The 17,942-nt window shown below is 55.7% G+C and overlaps 1 protein-coding gene across 3 annotated transcripts, besides 5 other annotated features; it reads right to left on the minus strand.

Annotated features, from left to right (window-relative positions):
* Positions 1-606: 606 nt before the first annotated feature.
* Positions 607-15,405, minus strand: ARHGEF19 (Rho guanine nucleotide exchange factor 19). 3 transcript variants are annotated; one of them, XM_011540706.4, is made up of 17 exons: positions 15,255-15,405; positions 12,893-12,966; positions 11,396-11,836; positions 10,697-10,978; positions 10,428-10,530; positions 10,275-10,351; positions 9,701-9,963; positions 8,933-9,093; positions 8,684-8,836; positions 8,291-8,420; positions 8,104-8,178; positions 7,840-7,929; positions 7,512-7,672; positions 5,169-5,327; positions 4,535-4,614; positions 1,903-2,007; positions 607-1,497 (listed from the first exon to the last, which is right to left on the minus strand). In XM_011540706.4, exons 3-17 carry the CDS (start codon positions 11,805-11,807, stop codon positions 1,340-1,342), a joined length of 2,409 nt encoding a protein of 802 aa, XP_011539008.1. In that variant the 5' UTR covers positions 11,808-11,836; positions 12,893-12,966; positions 15,255-15,405; the 3' UTR covers positions 607-1,339. The 3 variants fall into 3 exon arrangements, 2 of the variants coding, with proteins under 2 accessions (XP_011539008.1, NP_694945.2); NM_153213.5 differs by lacking the exon at positions 12,893-12,966; XR_946544.2 differs by lacking the exons at positions 607-1,497; positions 1,903-2,007; positions 4,535-4,614; ... (2 more) ...; positions 8,291-8,420; positions 12,893-12,966 and having other exon boundaries at positions 7,905-7,929.
* Positions 9,279-9,348: a silencer, noted in NCBI's record as "silent region_325". NCBI's record gives its function as "represses an Ori minimal core promoter by ATAC-STARR-seq in GM12878 lymphoblastoid cells {active_cell/tissue: GM12878}" and the evidence as "EXISTENCE:reporter gene assay evidence [ECO:0000049][PMID:35858748]".
* Positions 9,549-9,998: a silencer, noted in NCBI's record as "silent region_326". NCBI's record gives its function as "represses an Ori minimal core promoter by ATAC-STARR-seq in GM12878 lymphoblastoid cells {active_cell/tissue: GM12878}" and the evidence as "EXISTENCE:reporter gene assay evidence [ECO:0000049][PMID:35858748]".
* Positions 10,045-11,018: an enhancer, noted in NCBI's record as "H3K27ac-H3K4me1 hESC enhancer chr1:16533787-16534760 (GRCh37/hg19 assembly coordinates)". NCBI's record gives its function as "activates a minimal SCP1, AML or CMV promoter by ChIP-STARR-seq in naive H9 embryonic stem cells {active_cell/tissue: H9 hESC(naive)}" and the evidence as "EXISTENCE:reporter gene assay evidence [ECO:0000049][PMID:30033119]".
* Positions 11,019-11,991: an enhancer, noted in NCBI's record as "H3K27ac-H3K4me1 hESC enhancer chr1:16534761-16535733 (GRCh37/hg19 assembly coordinates)". NCBI's record gives its function as "activates a minimal SCP1, AML or CMV promoter by ChIP-STARR-seq in naive H9 embryonic stem cells {active_cell/tissue: H9 hESC(naive)}" and the evidence as "EXISTENCE:reporter gene assay evidence [ECO:0000049][PMID:30033119]".
* Positions 15,209-15,907: an enhancer, noted in NCBI's record as "H3K27ac-H3K4me1 hESC enhancer chr1:16538951-16539649 (GRCh37/hg19 assembly coordinates)". NCBI's record gives its function as "activates a minimal SCP1, AML or CMV promoter by ChIP-STARR-seq in primed H9 embryonic stem cells {active_cell/tissue: H9 hESC(primed)}" and the evidence as "EXISTENCE:reporter gene assay evidence [ECO:0000049][PMID:30033119]".

The raw sequence follows: 17,942 nt of genomic DNA on the forward strand, positions 1-17,942 counted from the left end.
AAAATATAAAAATTAGCCGGGCATCGTGGCAGACACCTGTAATCCCAGCTACTCAGGTGGCTGAGGCAGGAGAATCACTTGAACCAGGGAGGTGGAGGTTGCAGTGAGCCAAGATTGCACCACTGCACTCCAGCTTGGGCTGAAAAATGGCCCCCAAAAGATATCCATGCCCTAGTCCTTGGAACCCGTGAATGTTACCTCATATGACAAAAAAGTGGGGGGCGGGGGCGCAGAGGGTTTTTGCAGATGTGATTTAAATTAAGGATTATGAGATGGGAAGATTATCTGGGTGGGCCTGAAATGCAATCACTTGTTTATCAGAGGGAGGCAGAGGGAAATTTGGTATAGACACACAGAGAAGGCAGTGTGACCACGGAGGCAGAGATCAGAGTGATACGGCTGCAAGTCAAGGAACACGGCAGCCACCAGCAGCGAGAAGAGGTGAGGAACCACTCTCCCCTCGAGCCCCGGGAGGGGGTACAGCCCCTGGGTGTGGGCCCAGTGCTGCTGATTTTGGACTCGGCCTCCAGAACTGTGAGAGAAGAAAATATTGTTTTAAGTCACTCAGTTTGAAGTAATTTTGTTATAGAAGCCACAGGAAACAAATAAAGAACTAATCAAATCTCTTTAATGTTTAAGCCTATTTGTATCTGATATTTTGTTACTTGCAGCCAAAAGCAGCCTAGCTGATACACAATCGTCCCCCTGCCCCCTGGTCACCCTTACAGCTCAGAGATGAACTCTAGAGAAATGCAAAGCCCCAGTTGGGAGCCAGCCGGAGACTCTCCTGGTCTTTAGCTGGGAAAATAGGACTGTGGGGGTGGGGGCAGCATCAGATGGATCACAGACTCCAAGCAAAGGCATGATAGGAGTTTATTTACAGACAAGACACAGCAACCAGCACCCACTCAGGCTCTGACCAGGGGAGGTGGTAGACAAGACCCCAGATATATATAAATATACATATAGGTCCCAGCACCATCAGCACCAGAACGTTCCCCAGCCAGGTCCCTGCCAGAAGGACCAAGAGTCAGGCAGGATTGAGGACATAGAAAGGAGAGGGCCCCAGTCTTTGCCAGGTATCAGTGATCACCTGTTATGGTCCCCATGTCAGAGGAAGAAACTATCCTTGGCCTTGAAGTGTGGACACTGAGGAGCATGAGGACGGAGAGACCCTCTGGAGGCGCCCCCATTCCTGTGTCCAGCCTGTGCCCTCAATGCCAAGGCCACAGAAGCGAAGTGCCAGCAGGAGCAGCTTGGGGAATGGAGACACTGCAGGCCCCTCCAGGACCATCCAGGAGCCAGGCATGGAGGTGGGGTCCTAGGCCATGGCTGCCCATCACACAGGAGCCTCCCCCAGTTTGCTGGTGGCACTTGTGACTCGCTTATTCTCCCGGAGGTTTCGGAGGCGGGCGCTGAGGCTGCTGATCTCTTCCACATAGGCCTGGGGCACCCACCCCTTCTCACCATCTGCCAGGCGGACCCCTTCCAGCCAGCCTAGGGACACATAGGCCAAGAACAACAGCATCAAAGGGGTACCAGGGCCAGGCCTGGAAGGGAACACCACAGCCCTGATGCAAGCTTTGTCTGCACCCTTGGGGCCAAGGTGACATCATCTCAGCATCTCTCAGCTCCAGGAAGGACCCTGTCTTGAGCTGTCTTGCAGATGAACTTCTGACCTGTTTTTCCTGATATCCTCTGAAAGGGTATTTCCCACTCTCCCCCATCACTCTCCATCCTATATCTTTACAAGCAGGAAGTTCCTCCTCTCATCTAACCTGATTCCCACATGCTGTGGCAGATCAACACTTGCAGAACCTTTCCCTGTGATATCTTAGTCATCTAGCCACCTCCTGCCCACCCAAGCCCCATCAGGGACACTTTCCCAGGAGGCCCCCTCACCGTCACTGGTCCAGGTCCTCACTGACAGGATGTCAGTCTTCTCCAAGGTCAGCTCATCTGGGTGCAGTGCCTTGTATGTCCTAACACACTGAACCTGGGGGCAATCTGACAGCCCAAGGGAGGCTCAGGGAGTCCCAAGGGCAGGATGGCAGGGGGAGGAGCATGGGTAGGGCAGGGAGGGGCAGTAGGAGGAAGTAAGGGGGTGGGAAGGTGGCCATTGAGGCTTCTATTCCTCTGCCACTGCCATGCCACAGGCCCACGTTCAAGCAGGCATACCCTCTGCCCACCCTGGCCTATCTCCTCTCCTACCCTAAACACAAGTGCAGGATTAATCCAGTCCCTCCCAGCTTCAGTTTCTGCCTCTATACCAAGGGCTGTCCCCTCCCCAGCTCAAGCCAACACCTTGCTTGTGACCTTCAGACCCCAACGTCCAACTGCCCCCAGATACCCCACAGAAAACAGTAACGGCCCTGCAATGTGCCCCTAACATCACTCTGGTGCTCCCTTTGGCCCATCCTTCCCAACTGGGATTCAAGCTGCATCGCTCCCGTTTAAAGCCCTCCAGGGCTTCCCAGTCCTCTTAGAATAAAATCCAAAGTCCTCCCTAGGCCCTACAAGGCCCTTCATGGTCTGGCATCGCCCCCTGCTATCCTCGTCTTCTCCCCTCCACTTTCCCTCCCTACTCTCCCCTCCACTTTCCCTCCCTACTTTCCCCTCCACTTTCCCTCCCTACTCGCTCACAAAGCTCCAGCCACACCAGCCTCCCTGCTGTTCCTCACTCTAAGCTCCCTCCTGCCCCAGGGCCTTTGTGCTGGCTCTTCCTTCTGCCAGATGCTCTTCCCCAGATCTTTTCGTGACAACCTCTCCTCATCCTTCAGGGGTCAGATGTTAATTGCCAGGGACCTCCCCTGACCACCTGGGAATAGAGAGCTTACCCCCACCCAGGTGGGACTCCTAGCTCAAGCCAGAGCATCTACCCCCTTCCTGGTCCTCAGCTCTTTTCATTAGACCAGGTGGGCTGGTAGCATCCAAAGCCACAGACTGAGGGGCCAGACCTCGCTTGAATCCCAGTTCTGCCGCTTACTGGCTGTGTGACCAATTTACTTCACCTTCTAAGCCTGAGTTTTCTCAGATATGAAAAATGTCTACCTAGTAGGGTTGCCATGAGGATTAAATTAGATTTAATGCAAATACAAGGCCCCTAGCCCTGGGCCTGGCCTATGGCAGGCGCTCAGTGGGCATGAGTGCCCTTTCTTTCCCTTTACTACCTAAAGCTCAGCCCTAACTCCTCTGCTCAAAAGCCTCCATTAAGGCTGGGTGCAGTGGCTCACACCTGTAATCCCAGCACTTTGGGAGGCTGAGGCAGGTGAATCACTTGAGGCCAGGAGTTCGAGACCAGCCATGGTCAACATGGCAAAACCCTGCCTCTACCAAAAATACAAAAATTAGCTGGGCATGGTGGCAGGCGCCTATAATCCCAGCTACTTGGGAGGCTGAGGCAGGAGAATTGTTTGAACCTGGGAGGTGGAGGTTGCAGTGAGCCAAGATTGTGCCATTGCACTCCAGCCTGGATGGCAGGGTGAGACTCTGTCTCAAAAAAAAAAAGCCAGGCGTGGTGGCAAGTGCCTGTAATCCCAGCTACTCGCAAGGCTAAGGCATAAGAATCACTTGAACCCAGGAGGTGGAGGTTGCAATGAGCAGAGATTGTGCCACTGCACTCCAGCCTGGGGTACAGAGTAAAACTGTGTCTCCAAAAAAATAAATAAATAAAGGCCTCCAATAAGCCAGGCACAATGGCTCATGCCTATAATCCCAGCACTTTGGGAGGCTGAAGGGAAAGGATTGCTTGAGTCCAGGAGTTTGAGGCCAGGCTGGGCAACATAGCAATACCCTATCTCTACAAAAAATAAAAATAGAGGTGTGGTATCCAGGTGTGGTAGTGCATATCTGTGGTCCCAACTACTCAAAAGGCTAAGGCAGGAGGATCACTTGAGCCCAGGAGGTTGAGACTACAGTGATCCATGATCATGCCACTGCACTCCAGCCTGGGCAATACAGCAAGACCCTGTCTCAAAAAAACCCCAAACAAACCTTCAATAGCTCCCTAGGGACACTATAGGAAGGCTCTCTATGATTAGGTCGCACCCTGGCTTACCAGCCTCACTTCACACCCAAAGGAAAAACCTTTATTCCAGCTGAGCAGATGCCTCACCTGCCACCACTACCCCCACCACCCCTCATACCCTGGCTCTGGCTGCTTCTTGTCTTGTTTGCAACTGACGCAAAGATGGAGACAGACCTGGGCTCTGGTCTCGGCTCTGCTACTTACTGGCTGGGTGAACTTACACAAGTCCATTTATCTCTGAACCTCTCTTCTAACTTGTAAAACAGGGGTGAAATGGGAGGCTACGAAGGCTTTATGATCTCCAGGATGCTGCCTGTGGACACAGAGTCCACCTGTGCTATGTAAGTTCTGCCCAGCCTTCAAGGTTCCTCAGAGCTACCCCTGACTGCCCCAGAAGTTGGTCTCTCTCCCCATAGCCCTGCCAGCAACACAGCACCCAGGATGGGAGGGGAGGAGAGCGGGCGAGGGTCCAGCCCAGGGATGTAAGCAGCAGGGATGAGCTACTACCTTCCCCCTCACTGATGACCTCCTTGTCCTCCTGGGGGCTGGAGGGGCACAAGGCTGAGATCCATCGCTGCTTCTCACTTCTAGGGAAGGGGGAGGCTAAGTTGTCACAATATGCAAAGTGCAGTTGCCCAGGGCAGGGTGCTGAAACCAAGGCTGGGGGAGCCAGACATGATGTCCAGGCCTAGGACCCAGGCCTACCCTAGGGACCCATGTCTGCCCCACCCCAGGGCCCACCCCACAACCCGGTTCCCAAGCCTGTGCCCCACCCAGCTCTGAGCATAACAGGCCCAGAACCCCCTGGATGCCAGCCCTACCCCCATCCTGCCTAATGCCACAGTCCTGAAGCCAGAGATAGCAGGGTGTGGAGGTTTACATCCAAGAGATGCCCAGAGGCTGAGGAGGAGGTGGCAGCCCCCTGACACCACCTGTGGGGCAGGCACCCCTACTCTGGCCTCCAGCCCTGCCCTCTGCCCCTGTGTCCTGCCCAAGTCAGGGAAGAGTTGAGCACTTGGGGAGGAACAAGGCCAGGATGTCCCAGGGGTGCCCGCCATGGGGACGGGGTGCCCATCATGGGGACGGGGTGCCTGTCATGGGGAGGGGGAGCCTCCTCTCTCCCATATCCAGGCCCACTCACTCCGTCCGGGCCCGCAGCAGGAACTGGTGCTTCATGTGCTGCCCGTGGAGGAGCTGGAGGAGGAACACGTGGCCGGGGATGCCCTGCAGCTTCAGGCTCAGGTCCCGCACCTGCAGCTCAGCCATCTTGGCATGGACGAAAACGGCAAACTTCCCTAGCCTGGAGGACCGGGGGAGGGGAGGTCAGCCTGGCCTGGGCCCTGGCTCTAGGCACCCACCCTCGGGATCAGGTGGGTTCTGACTGGAAGTGGGGAGAAGGGGTTGCCTGCCCTGCCAGCGTTCTCACAGGGTCCTGCTTCTGGATAGGGCACTGCTAGTCCCCACAAGGAACCAAGAGCTCCTTCCCCGCTGGCTTGCTGGTGGAGGCTGGAGGTGATGGAGACCAGTCCCTGAGCCCCAAGCACACTTTTGACCTTTCTCTCTCTCTTTTTTTTGTTTTTTTATTTGTTAGTTTTTTGGCTTTTTGTTTTGTTTTGTTTTAAGACAGAGTCTCGCTCTGTCTCCCAGGCTGGAGTGCAGTGGCATGATCTCGGCTCACCACAACCTCCGCCTTCCAGGTTCAAGCGATTCATGACCTCTCTCTGAACCTCTCTGCCAAGCGTCTGTTCCAAAGAGCCAACTGGACAGCTCCCCTGAGGAGTGTCTAACTCTCTTCCAGTATATAAGCCCCACGAAGGCTGAGCCTCGTCTCTTTGCCACTGTATCTCAGTGTCTGATGATACTGCCTGACCCACAATTTGGGCTCAGTAAGTACTTGTAGGCAGGATGGGTGGAGGGTGTTCCACAGACGTCAACTCATTCAACAAAACTCGGCATCAGAAAAAACTCAGCTTCTCCCACTCCAAGCCAGATCCCCTTTACTGTTCTCCATTCCAGTGAAAGACCCCACCAGTTTGCCCAAGAGGAAACTCAGACGTCATGCTCACCTCTTCCCTTTCCATCCCCCCTACACCCATCTGGTAGCTATGTCCTGTCTTTCCTCCTTATTGTCCCTTGAATCCACTTATCCTGAAGTACCCTGCCACTTCTGGAGCATCTACCCTCTCCTGAGCAACTGCAAGACCCTCTGGCCTCTCCCCTTCCAGTTCATCCTCCAAATTGGCCAGGAGCAAAATATCATCCCTCTGCTTAACTCTCCACGCTCCCTGCTGCCTCAGAAAAAGTCCAACCTCTCTATCATGACCTTCAACATCCCAACTTCCCTCTGCTGCCTTTCTCCTTTACAAATCCAGCCACATTAGGCTTCATGATTCCCAAACACACATTCCGCTCTTCTACCCTACCATGACTCTGCTGTACTCCTGCACTCAAACTACCTGTCTACCTGGAAAACTCCTACTCATCCTTCAAAACCCAGCTCAAATGTCCTGTCCTCTATGAAGCTTTATTGATTCTCACTCCACACCAGGAAATACCGCAGTACACCCTTATATCAAAACCCTGATGATATGGTTGTCAGAATGTATTTTCACTGTCTGAGAGCTTCTGTGAGCAGAAAACAAGTCTCATTCATATTTATGTCCCTAGCACTGGCCTGCTACAGAACAGAGATTCAGTGACTGTTTACTAAATGAACAAACAAATCAGGAATGAATTCTTCTTATAGCATAACATGTCCATCCTTTTTTGTTTTAAGAGATGGGGTCTCACTATGTTGCCCAGGCTAGTCTTGAACTCCTAGACTCAAGTGATCCTCCTACCTTGGCCTCCCAAAGTGCTGGGATTACAGGTGTGAGCCACCGTGCCCAGCCCACATGTCCATCCTTTATCCCATTCACCTTATCCAGGTAGTCTTCTACCTCACTCTTCCTAACAATCCCAGCTAATACTGAACAAGTGTTCACTGTGAGTCAGGCATGGTGCTGCCATCAGACAGAGCTGGCATCCTCCTGGCTCCCCCACCTACTAGCTCCATGATCTGAGAGTAACAGAGAAGCCTATTTCCCAGGGAGGTATTTGGAGGATTAAAGGGAATAATCCACGTAGCATGCCTTGCACAGAGTAGGTACTGAGTAAATGTTGGCTTCTGGCATAGCTGTGACTCAGGGCAGAGTTGGGACTCTAGGGCTATGCTCTTAGTCTCTGCTCTTACTGGCTGAAGCTCACAGCATCTCCAAGTCCTCGGCATACAGTCTAGCCCTTGATTCTCCCTTCTGGAACATGGACTTGTCTCACATCTCTGCCTTTGCTTCAGGAGCCTCCAAATCTCAGGGTGCCCTGGCAGCATACCCTGGCACAGGCAGGGACTCCCAGGCCCAGGGATGGACTGGTCATAAGCCCAGTGGTGGGGAGGAAGAGAGCCTGGCTCCACTTTACCTACCCACCCCTGACTGCCCCGACTCACTCCTTCCGCCGAGAGAGCAGCAAGCAGTCATTGAAGAGGTGGAGGTAGACTGCCTTGCTGGACAGCTTCAGCTTGGCAGGGGGTGCTGCAGGCAGTGGTGCCAGCTCTACCAACTCTCCATGCCGAACCAGCCAGCGGGCCTGAGAGATCAGCGGGAAAATCTAGAGGGATGGAGAAGGATGGGTCAGGCCCAGGGGCACCAGGCAGAGAGCACAAGATGGTAGATGGGAGGGTGTGGGCAGCGATTAACTGGCCTGAAGCCCCCAGGGCAAGGAAGAAACAAGAGCTGCCCCTTGGGGTCCCCATCCCGCTGGCTGCAGACACACACCTTGCCCTCAAAGTGGATCTTCTTGCTCAGGTGGATGAGTTCCTCTGTCCTCTTCATGGACTGTACACTAGCATTGCACTCCTGCACCAGCTGGGGGAGCCGTGGGGAGGTCACCTGCAGCCCCTCAGCTCCGGCTCCCAGAGCCCAGCCTCAGACTCTTGCCTGGGGACCGGAGACTCTGACAGCTGGGGGCTGTTTTAGAGACGTGCTGGGGGTCCAGGGGGGGCCTCAGGAGCCAAGCAGCCCCTGCCCTGCCCAGCTCACCTCCTTGAGCGCATTGAAGGCCTTGGTGGCCATGTCTTCGTCTTCAGAGCCCTGTGCTGTCCGCTTCAGGATGTTCTGGAAGGTGGGATCAGCACAATGAGGCAGTCCTCATACTCCCGAGACCCGGCCCGCCCACAGGTGTATCTCCCTCGCCCAGCCCTCACTGTGGCCTGTCCCCTCGAGGTACCTCCACCAACATCTTGAGGCGGGTGATCCTCTGGAAGGGCAGGATAAGGAAGGAGGTAAGGGGCAGACGCTGGCACACAGGAGACTCCTCCAGGCGAGCCAGGATGCCAGGGAACCTGGGGTTCTCCAGGCTGGAAAATGGGGAGGACTCTGGAATCACAGGTAGGCCTGAATTCCTGGGATCCACAACCCTGGCCATCCACGGGGTCCTCAGGGGGCTTCTCAGCACATCCTTACTGCCCTTTGGGGTTGCATCTCACCTTATCCTGGTCACAGAGACCTTTTCAGGGACCCCTCCCCTCCCAGAGTCACCTTACGTCACCCAGCCCTCAGTGCCTACACCTGCCTGAGACTCCCTCCACGCCCCCGCCCCTTTCAGAGCCCCCAGCCCTACAGCAGGCGCTGGTAGGTGCGCTCCTGGTAGGCCTGGTTGGTGACATAGGGCAGGTAGACTCTGCGGAAGGCCGGGCAGTGGTCCAGCACCACGTCGCACACGCTGAAGCGCAGCACATCTGCCTCCAGCCGCTGCTCCAGGTCCTGCAGGAACCTGAGGAGTCAGAGCCAGGATGGAGACCCCAGATCTGGGAGCTGGCCAACCACTGGCTCCGTCCCCACCCCGGGCCAGGCCAGACCACTTCTTCACCTCTCGCTGGTGCTCTTGACCTCGGGCAGTTTGGAAAACAGCCACTGCTTGTCCTGCGCCCCCAGACACTCGCTCAGCTCGGCAGAGCCTAAGAAGTGGCCCACAGCCACCGACAGGCTGTGGATGTAGGAGGCCTCGGAGGTGATCAGCTCAAACTTGGCCTGAGGGAGGGCACACACGGGGTCGAAAGGGCAGGACCAGTTCACCTCGGAGGCCCTGGCCTCACATCCCCAGACCCCAGGACGCCACACCTCGCGTCCTCGCCCCTTCTCTAGCCCCACTCCTAATCTGGCGCCGGGCGGGCCCGGCGACCCACGTCCCGCCGCGGGAAATTGTGCAAGCCTTTCCTGTCCTCGATCCCGCCCCTCTCCTAAGCCCCGCCCCGACGCGTTCTTCCCAGAGCCCCGCCCACCCCCCAGGTCCCGCCCCTGATCCTGGCCCCGCCTTGTTCCGCGCCCACCAGGCGTTTGCTCTTCCAATGGTTCCGCTCCTCATCCGGCCCTGTCCTATCCTAGGTTTCGTCCCGCTGGCTCCGCCCCCTACCCGCACCCAAGCCCGGCTCCCCTCGCCTCTCGCTCAGCGGCTTGCTGTCCTCGCTTCCAGACGGCCTCGTGTAGTCAGGTCCTAGAGCCAACCTTCCGCGCGGACAGTCGCGCCAGCAACCCCCTTTGTGTGTCCCCCTCCCTCTATGGCCCGGTTCCCGCTAAGTCCCCGGACCGCGTACTCCCCGGCCCGCCCCCGCCCCGCCGGGTCCCCGCGCGCGCCCACCTCCTGCAGCTTGCAGTCCCGCAGGCTCAGCGTGGCCAGGACGCCGCTGCCGCGTACGTCGGGGATATCCTGCCACAGCGAGAAGGTGGAGCCTCGCGCCGAGCGCTGCGCCCGGAAGGAGCTGCTGGGGGAGAGGTTGGCCCGCGGCGGCCCCGGCCCCTCCTCTGCGCCCTCGGCCTCGTCCCCCGGGCCCTCCTCCTCGCGCTGCTGCCGCCGCAGTTCGCGGGCGCTGGCCACGTCGCTGTATTCCTGATAGAGGACGGCTGGGGGAAAGACGGGCGGGGGAGAGCGTGGGGCGCCCGCCAGCCCCTGCCCGGCTTTTCCTCGGTTCCCTCAAGAGCCCGCGTCACTTAACCTTTGCCGCGGTTCGGATATCTGGACACAGTGAATTCATTCATTCATTCATTCATTCCATAAACAAATTGAGCACCTACTGAGTGCTAGATACCGACAGTTCCATTCTCCGTTTCTCACTCGATCCCTACCTCTCAACTCTCCAAACCCTCTTTTCCCCGTTTCCACACCGCAGCCCCTTCCTCCGTTACCTCCTCCCAGGGACCCCCCTCCCACGTACAGTTAAGGAGGAATCGAGACTGGCGCCGCTCGTTGGTGCTCCTGGACCCCAAAGGCGGCTCTTCCTGTGTGTCTAGCCTAGGAAAGAGAGAGCGTCACGGCCCTAGTTCGCCTGCACCCTGTCTCGGACCCAAGCCCAAACGGGAGGTGGTACCTGGGCTCGGACCAATCGCCCTCTCGTGAGTCACCAGGGGCTGGCCGCGACACCCGGTCCCCGCTCATCTCTACACTTCGAGCCTCCATTCCAGATGCTTTCCCTGGAGAGGGCGAGAACTGAGGGTGGGGGGTCCAGAGAGTGGGCCTGGGGCCTGGGCCCCGGCCCAGGCACCCTGACGGCCTCAGGCGGCCGGTGAGTGGGCATCGCCCACCCCCACCCCCACCCGGCATCTGGCTGCCCTCAGGGCCCATGGGAGGAGCTGGTACCTTCCCGGGCTGCTCCGGTGCCTGACCCAGAGATGAGTGCCCGGGCTGCTGAATTCCGCCCCAGGCGCAGAGAAGAGTGCAGCCGGGTCATCAGCTCCGATGCCGAGAAGCGCCTCCGCTCAGGACCTTCGAGGCTCACTCGGGTGGACCCAGACAACTCCACCCTGGGCTCCTCTGTGCTCAGGGCCTGCTCTTGCACTACCTGGCCAGGCTCTAGGAAGACAGCGTGGGCCTCGGGGCAGCCGGGGACCTCTTCACGCTGGTACACCCGCATCTTGCGCCCTAGGGTTGGGGGCAAGGAGTGAGAGCACGGGCTGGGGTCTCCCCCAACCTCCTCCCTGCTGCTGCCCCTGGCCCTGAGCACCTGGGGAGGTTCAGGCACCATGCCCAAGGGAAGGGCCTGTGTTTCTGCTAGCATCTGGTCCCCAGAGCCCTGGGGTCCACGAGAGGGGTAAGGAGAGCACAGGGCCTGGCTGCAGTAGACAGAGGGATCAGGCTGCCCAGAATGGTGACTCACTCACTGCATAACCTTGGACAAGTCACTTGCCTTCCCTGAGCCCCACTAGTTTCCTTATCACTAATCTACCACTTGTCCTGACTTTTGGGGGAACCTTGGGACATAAAGGTTAAGGAGCTGCCCAGCCCCTCCCCTATCCCCCTGCCATGGCACCCACACCCGCCTTCCCCAGGGTGACTCACAGGCAGACTTCTTCTCCGAGCCGTGGCTGGCCCGGCGCTGTGGCTGTGTGTGTCGGGGACTCCAGGGTCCCTCCAGAGCTGGGGGCTGGGCACCAGGACAGTGTGGCCAGCTGCCAGCCCTGCTGGGCCGCATCCCCCCGCTGGTGATCTCTGTATCTGAGCCTCCTGGGGATAATGGCCATAGCAACCCTTGGAGAGGGGCAGGGGTCCCCAGGGACCAGCGGCTGCCAGGAGCCCGAAGCTCCTCTGGGGCAACAGGGAAAAGGTCCAGACACACTGGGCTCGGGGGCTTCAGGGCGGGCAGCTCTGCAAAGGACAGACTCTCCTGCTGGCACACTGCTACAGGGTGGTGGGCAGTGCCAGGTGGCCCAGTCAGGTGGGGCTGGAGGGTAGCAGGTGGCCCACAGTCCATTCCTCTTTTGCTCTGCCACCCACCTGGCCCTGCAGAAGAGAAGATATCAGACCTAGACAGAGGACAGTGGGGCTGGCCAGTAAGCCACCACCCCTGGAGGCCTGGACAAACCCCTGTGTACACTTGTGTACACACATCTCCACAAACACACTCACATGTCTAATTATATAGAAATAGCTGATACTTGCTTGGCATTGCCTGAATGATAGGCCAAGTACTTTACACATACTATCTCATTTAATCCTCACAACAACGCTGTGAGTTGATGCTCTTATTATCCCCATTTTATAGGTGAGGAAACTGAGGCACAGAGAGGTTATTTGGTAAATGGTGGAGCCAGGATTCTAACCTGGCCGTTCTAGCTTTGAAATCGATGATTTTAACCACCTTGTACTTCTCTAAAACACACTGACATGTCACCAGACATGCAAATACATACATTGTCACACAAATCCATTTCCCAACATATACATCCACACTACATTTTCTCCCAAGTATAGAATGACATGTACACTTTCATAGATACAGACATTTCAAACTCAGGCTCACACAGTCACAGACACACACATTTTTACACAACCGCATACATTCACAGACAACTCCTCACAAACACGCTGACCCGTCCGATATTTACACAGGCACCCAAGATTTCTCACCCTCCTGTTCCCTTCACATGCACACAGACACACACCAGCCCACAGGTCCTTGCTCTGATGTTTCTCCCCCCATCTCCCCGACCCTTGCCCAGAGTTGCGGCCTTCAGTGCTGAGTGGTGCCCACACCCATGCCAAGTTGGCTGGGAGGGTCATGGACTGGCAGGCGGGCCACCACCCAGATCAGGCAGGGGCCTTCTCGAAGTTCAAAGAGGTGCCCCAGCACCCCCGGCTTGGAGTGAAAGAGGGGCTGTCCCCCACCCCAGCTTCCAGCCCCTGGGTGGGCCAGGCTGGATGGGTCCTTTCTGGGCAGGAAGTTATCCCTGGGGAGCCAGCCCTCCGATCGGGGCAGGCCTGATGATCTGAGAGGCCCAAGCCCCCACAGCTCTTGCCCTGTGGCCCTCTGCCAGCCTCCCTCCTGCAGCCCCTCACCTCTCTGGGCCCAGGCCCGCTGCTGATGCTGTTTGGCTGTTCCGGCAGGGGAAGCCCTCTCTCTGCCCAGCTGGCTGGGGGAGATCCCACCCAGACAAAGAGTTTGATTCATCAAACCCTGTGGTGAGGCAAGCAGGGAGGGAGGGAGGGAGCAGGCAGCGGGCTGGGCGGGGGCCTACCCTAGCCTGGCCTCGCTGTGGGCAGGCCGGGCAGCCAGGACCCCCCAGAGGCCCCCTCAGGCCAAAGGGGCAGTGCCCAGCCTGGCAGGACCAGGAGAGCCAGGAAATGAAGACTGAGAGAGACCCAGAGAAACAGAGACCACTTAGCCAGTAACTGAGAAACCAAGACCCCAAGACGTTCAAAAACAGAAAAACCACAGATGCTGAGACATTCAGGGACCCAGAGATGGAGACAGAGACACTGACAATTTCAGGCCAACCAGATCCTCAGAGACACAGATGAAGCCCAGAAAACCCAGGGAGACAGATGGACAAACATTTCATGCCCGTGGGCTGCCAGTCTAGTGGGAGAGCCAAAAATGAAAACAGTTACAATCCAGGTTGGCAAGAGCCAAGCCAGAGGAACCATCAGAGGAGGGTGCTCGGCTCAACTCAACCTGGGTATTCCAGGAAGACTTCCTGGAGGAGGTGATAGTTAACTGCTCCACGGCTGAAATACATAGTGCACTTAGAGGGAAAGCCTTGGCCTGAACAGTGACAGTGTCAGTCACTATTGGAGACAGGGAGGGAGAAGAGGACCCAGCGAGAGATGGCTGGGTCTATGGCAGGCCCCAGTCTCTCTGCACAGCTTCTCAACTGCTTCCCCCTGCTCCCTTCACCCTGCTGTCTGGGAGGGTGGGAAGAAGGGGACTGGCTGCTCCAAAGGGGTCCTCTCTACGGTGGCCACTCTGGCTTGTACCATCAGCCTCTGTCCCTCTAGCCTGAAAAGTACCCATCTGAGCGAGTCTCCCTAAGCCTCGGTCTCCTCATCCGGCAAATAGGATAGTATTTTTATTATCATCAGTCTTTCTCTAGACAGAAGGCAGCTCAGGCCTTCACACAGATGGGGAAGATGAAGGAGTGAGGCTGAGACACACATTATATCGCAGGAGTGTGCACAAGGAGGCCCCTGCCCACAGACGGGTCTCTTTCTCTGCAGGAATCAGAAGTCCTCGACACAGAAGTCCCACTTGCTTCTGGGGGCACACATGTGCAGGCATGTACACATGCCCCCTGCCCCTTTGTATGCTGGGAGATTCTAGCACTTGGGTTCTGGAAGCTCCTGGAGGGCAGGGAGGGACCCTCTCTCCCATGGCTCACAGGGATAAGTAGGCAAAACATTGAGGCTTTGCAGCAGGAGCACCCCCAGTTAAGGCTGCAGAGGAGAAGGCTAGGTGAATGTGGGGAGAGGGGACATAGAAGGCTTCCCGGGGAGATGAAGCTGGAGGCAGGTCCCTAGCAGGGAAGAAGTCAGGAGTGTGTCAGCCTCCACCTATGCTCAAGCCAAGGGGTAATAAGAATGACCCATCTAGCTGGGATGCCAGCCCTGTGGCCCTCCAGGGGTTTGGCCCACCCAACCTCAATGCTGGGGAGCTAAGAGGGACAAGCTGTGTTCATATTGTGTGTAGCTCATCTCTGTTAGAAAAAAACAAACAAAAACCTCAGAAAGAGAACTGGCCCCAGACAGCAGGGACATTACCTTCCCAAGGCACGATCACAGGATAGAGACTCTTGTGTCTACTAGGCAAGGGCCACTCTGGAGCCCAAAAAGAATAACCTCCGCCCAAGCTTTGAGGCCCAGTGTTGACACTGACCAGCTGTGTGGCCTTAGGCAATTCACAGCCCATCCCTTGGCCTCAGTATTCCCATCTGTAAAGTGGCTCCTAAGGGACCGCACCACCGCCCAATGCCCTCTCTAAGAAACATGTCTCATCATAAATGTCTCTGGGCCAAGAAGGATGGGCAGGGGCCGAGGAAAGTACCCTTGGTGGGTGCTGCTAATTACAGAAGACGATGGGCCCACTTAGCAAGGCTGCCAGAGAGTCCCTGGACACTACCATGATCAGAAAAAGTGTTTCTGGCCTCCTGTACCTAGCTTTTCCCTGCCCCCTCCCGGGTGCCCCTTGCCTTGCTGCCCAGGAGAGCTGGTACCCTGCCAGAGCCTCTCTGCCCTTTAAGGAATAAAGCCAGGTGGGAAGTCATGGCTGGAAAGTGGATCCAGGCCAAGTGGTTCACAGAGCCCCAGAAGGCCATAGTGGGTCAGAGCCAGGATCAGAGACCAGGCGGGCAGCACAAAGGGCTCACTCAGCGGGGAAAACTGGCGGGAAGAGAATGGGACTGCTGGCACCCAGGTGGGGCCCTACCTCAGCCAGGGAGCTCCGTCCAGCTGCCAGCACGGTCCAGGGCTCCGGGACACCCTGGGGGCTCTGGGGTTGCAGCCAAGTCCTCAGGGGGCGATGTCAGCATGTCAGCATGGCCCCAGAGCCGAGCAAGGCAAGCTCCTGGGTATTGTGTGGGGCAGGGAGGGGGAGGTGAAGGAGGAGGGAACCTTGCAGAGAGAGGCAGGCGGCTGTCTCAACGTGCCTGCTCCCCGCCCCCCTTCCCCAGAACCGGTTTGGCTAGTCTGGGGTACAAGAGGGGGGCTGGAACAATGGGAGTCCTATGCCCAAGTGAGGCTCTGAAGGACCCTACACCCAGGTCCTAAAGACGGGGGAGGCAGTGCTTCTGCTCCTAGGAGACAGGTCACCACTCTTCTGGAGCTTCCCAAACATGAGCATGCTCAGGGGACTTCTTGGAGCTGGGGAGCATCCTGGGAGCTTCACAGAGAGCCTCCCAAGCCCTGCACTCCTTAGGGACCCTGAGAACCCTGATGACCCTCTCTGATCCTATTACTACATCTATCAAATTGGAACACTCATCCCTATGATTGGGAGACAGAAATCAGTCCTGAAAGTTGATGATGTGACATGTGGCATCATCCTGGACAGCCTCTCCTCATCTAGTACAGCCACTGCTTGCAAATCCCCATCCTTTCCCACGGCCTGGAATGACCTGCCCCACCATCTCCAGTGGCCGCCTCCACCATGAAGCCTTCCCAGACTATACCAATTGAGCCCTCAATAAACCAAGCCAAATAGCCAAGTCAAACTGCCTCCAATAAGAAGGGCATGCTCTATGCCCGGCATGCAATCTTCCCAACCCTGTGGAATGGGAAGCTGCATTTTCCCCTAATTCTACCTGCCATCTGTTTGAGCTACCAGCAATTGCCAGGCACCTAATATTAATATGCAGATGTGTACACAGACTAATAGTCATGAAGCTAACTTATTGTTCACCTACTAGGTGCCAGGCACTGTCCTGAGCACTTCACATGTATTTACTCATTTAATCTCCACCATGACCCTGTCAGGTAGATACTGCTACCACTTATCAGGTGAGTACAGTTGTCCCTTGGTACCCAGAATCTGTGGGGAATTGGTTCTAGAACCCTCCCATACGAAAATCCATGGCTGCTCCAGTCCCTTATACAAAATGTCATAGTGTTTGCTATAACCTTTGTACATCCTCCAGTAAATTTTATTTTATTTTATTTTATTTATTTATTTATTTATTTATTTATTTATTTATTTATTTATTTTTAAGATGGAGTCTTGCTCTGTCACCCAGGCTGGAGCAAGTGGTGGGATCTCAGCTCACCGCAACCTTTGCCTCCCAGGTTCAAGCAATTCTTCTGCCTCAGCCTCCCCAGTAGCTGGGATTACAGGCGCATGCCACCACACCCTACTAATTTTTTTTGTTTCTAGTCAAGACAGGGTTTCACCATGTTGGCCAGGCTGGTTTTTGAACTCCTGACCTTAAGTGATCCACCCGCCTCAACCTCCCGAAGTGCTGGGATTATAGACGTGAGCCACCGCACCCAGTCTATTTTATGTATTTATTGTCAAAAAATAAAATAAAATGTCCTCAAGTGAGAGGGTCTCACTCTGTCATCCAGGCTGGAGTACAGTGGTGCAATTACAGGGCTCACTTGCAGTCTCGTCGACCTCCTGGGCTCAGGTGATTCTCCCACCTAAGCCTCCTGAGTAACTGGGACCACTGGTGTGCACCCCCACACCTGACTAATTTTTGTATTTTTTGTAGAGATGGGATCTCACCAGGTTGCCCAGCCTAGTCTCAAACTCCTGGGCTCAGGCGATCCACCAGCCTTGGCCTCCCAAAGTACTGGATTTATAGACATGAGCCACCACGCCCGGCACTCCAGTACAGTTTAAATCAATTCTAGATTACTTATAACACGTTAATACAGTGTAAGTGCTATGTAAATAGTTGTTATCCTGTAATGTTTTTTATTTGCATTATTTTTTATTGTCATTATTTTTGTTATTTTTTGTTTTTATTTTCATTTTCCATGCATTGTTGGTTGAACCCAAGGATGCAGAACCTGAGGATATGGGGGGCCAACTTAACAAGTTAAGTCATGAGCATTATCCCTTTGAAATCTCTCATCAGTTCTATGAAGTCCCTATTTTACAGATGACATTAAGGTTTGAGAGATTAAATAACTTGTCACACAGCTAATAAGGGGCAGGACTAGTATTGAAACCCAGGTCTGGCCGGGCGTGGTGGCTCACGCCTGTAATCCCAGCACTTTGGGAGGCCAAAGTAGGTGGATCCCCTGAGGTCAGGAGTTCTAGACCAGCCTGGCTAACATGGTGAAACCTGTCTCTACTAAAAACACAAAAATAGTCTGGGCACAGGGGCTCACACCTGTAATCCCAACACTTTGGGAGTCTGAGGCCAGCGGATCACGAGGTCAGGAGTTTGAGACCAGCCTGGCCAACATGGTGAAACTCTGTCTCTACTAAAAATACAAAAATTAGCCGAGCGTGGTGGCGCACACCTGTAATCCCAGCTACTCAGAAGGCTGAGGCAGGAGAATTGCTTGAACCACGGAGGTGGGGAGGCAGAGGTTGCAGTGAGTTGAGGTCACAACACTGCACTCCCGCCTGGGTGACAGAGCGAGACTCCATCTCAAAAAAAAAAAAAAAAAA

The sequence above is a fragment of the Homo sapiens genome, chromosome 1 (assembly GCF_000001405.40).
Source record: "Homo sapiens chromosome 1, GRCh38.p14 Primary Assembly".
Lineage (NCBI taxonomy): Eukaryota > Metazoa > Chordata > Mammalia > Primates > Hominidae > Homo > Homo sapiens.

Excerpts from the sequence above, each read along its gene's own strand:
- ARHGEF19 (NM_153213.5), bottom strand. The coding sequence starts at position 11,807 with ATGGACTGTGGGCCACCTGCTACCCTCCAGCCCCACCTGACTGGGCCA. Across the intron at positions 10,979-11,395 it reads CTCGGAGAAGAAGTCTGCCT|GGCGCAAGATGCGGGTGTAC; the intron begins GTGAGTCACCCT and ends CCCCAACCCTAG. Across the intron at positions 8,179-8,290 it reads GCCTCAAGATGTTGGTGGAG|AACATCCTGAAGCGGACAGC; the intron begins GTACCTCGAGGG and ends CCCACCTTCCAG.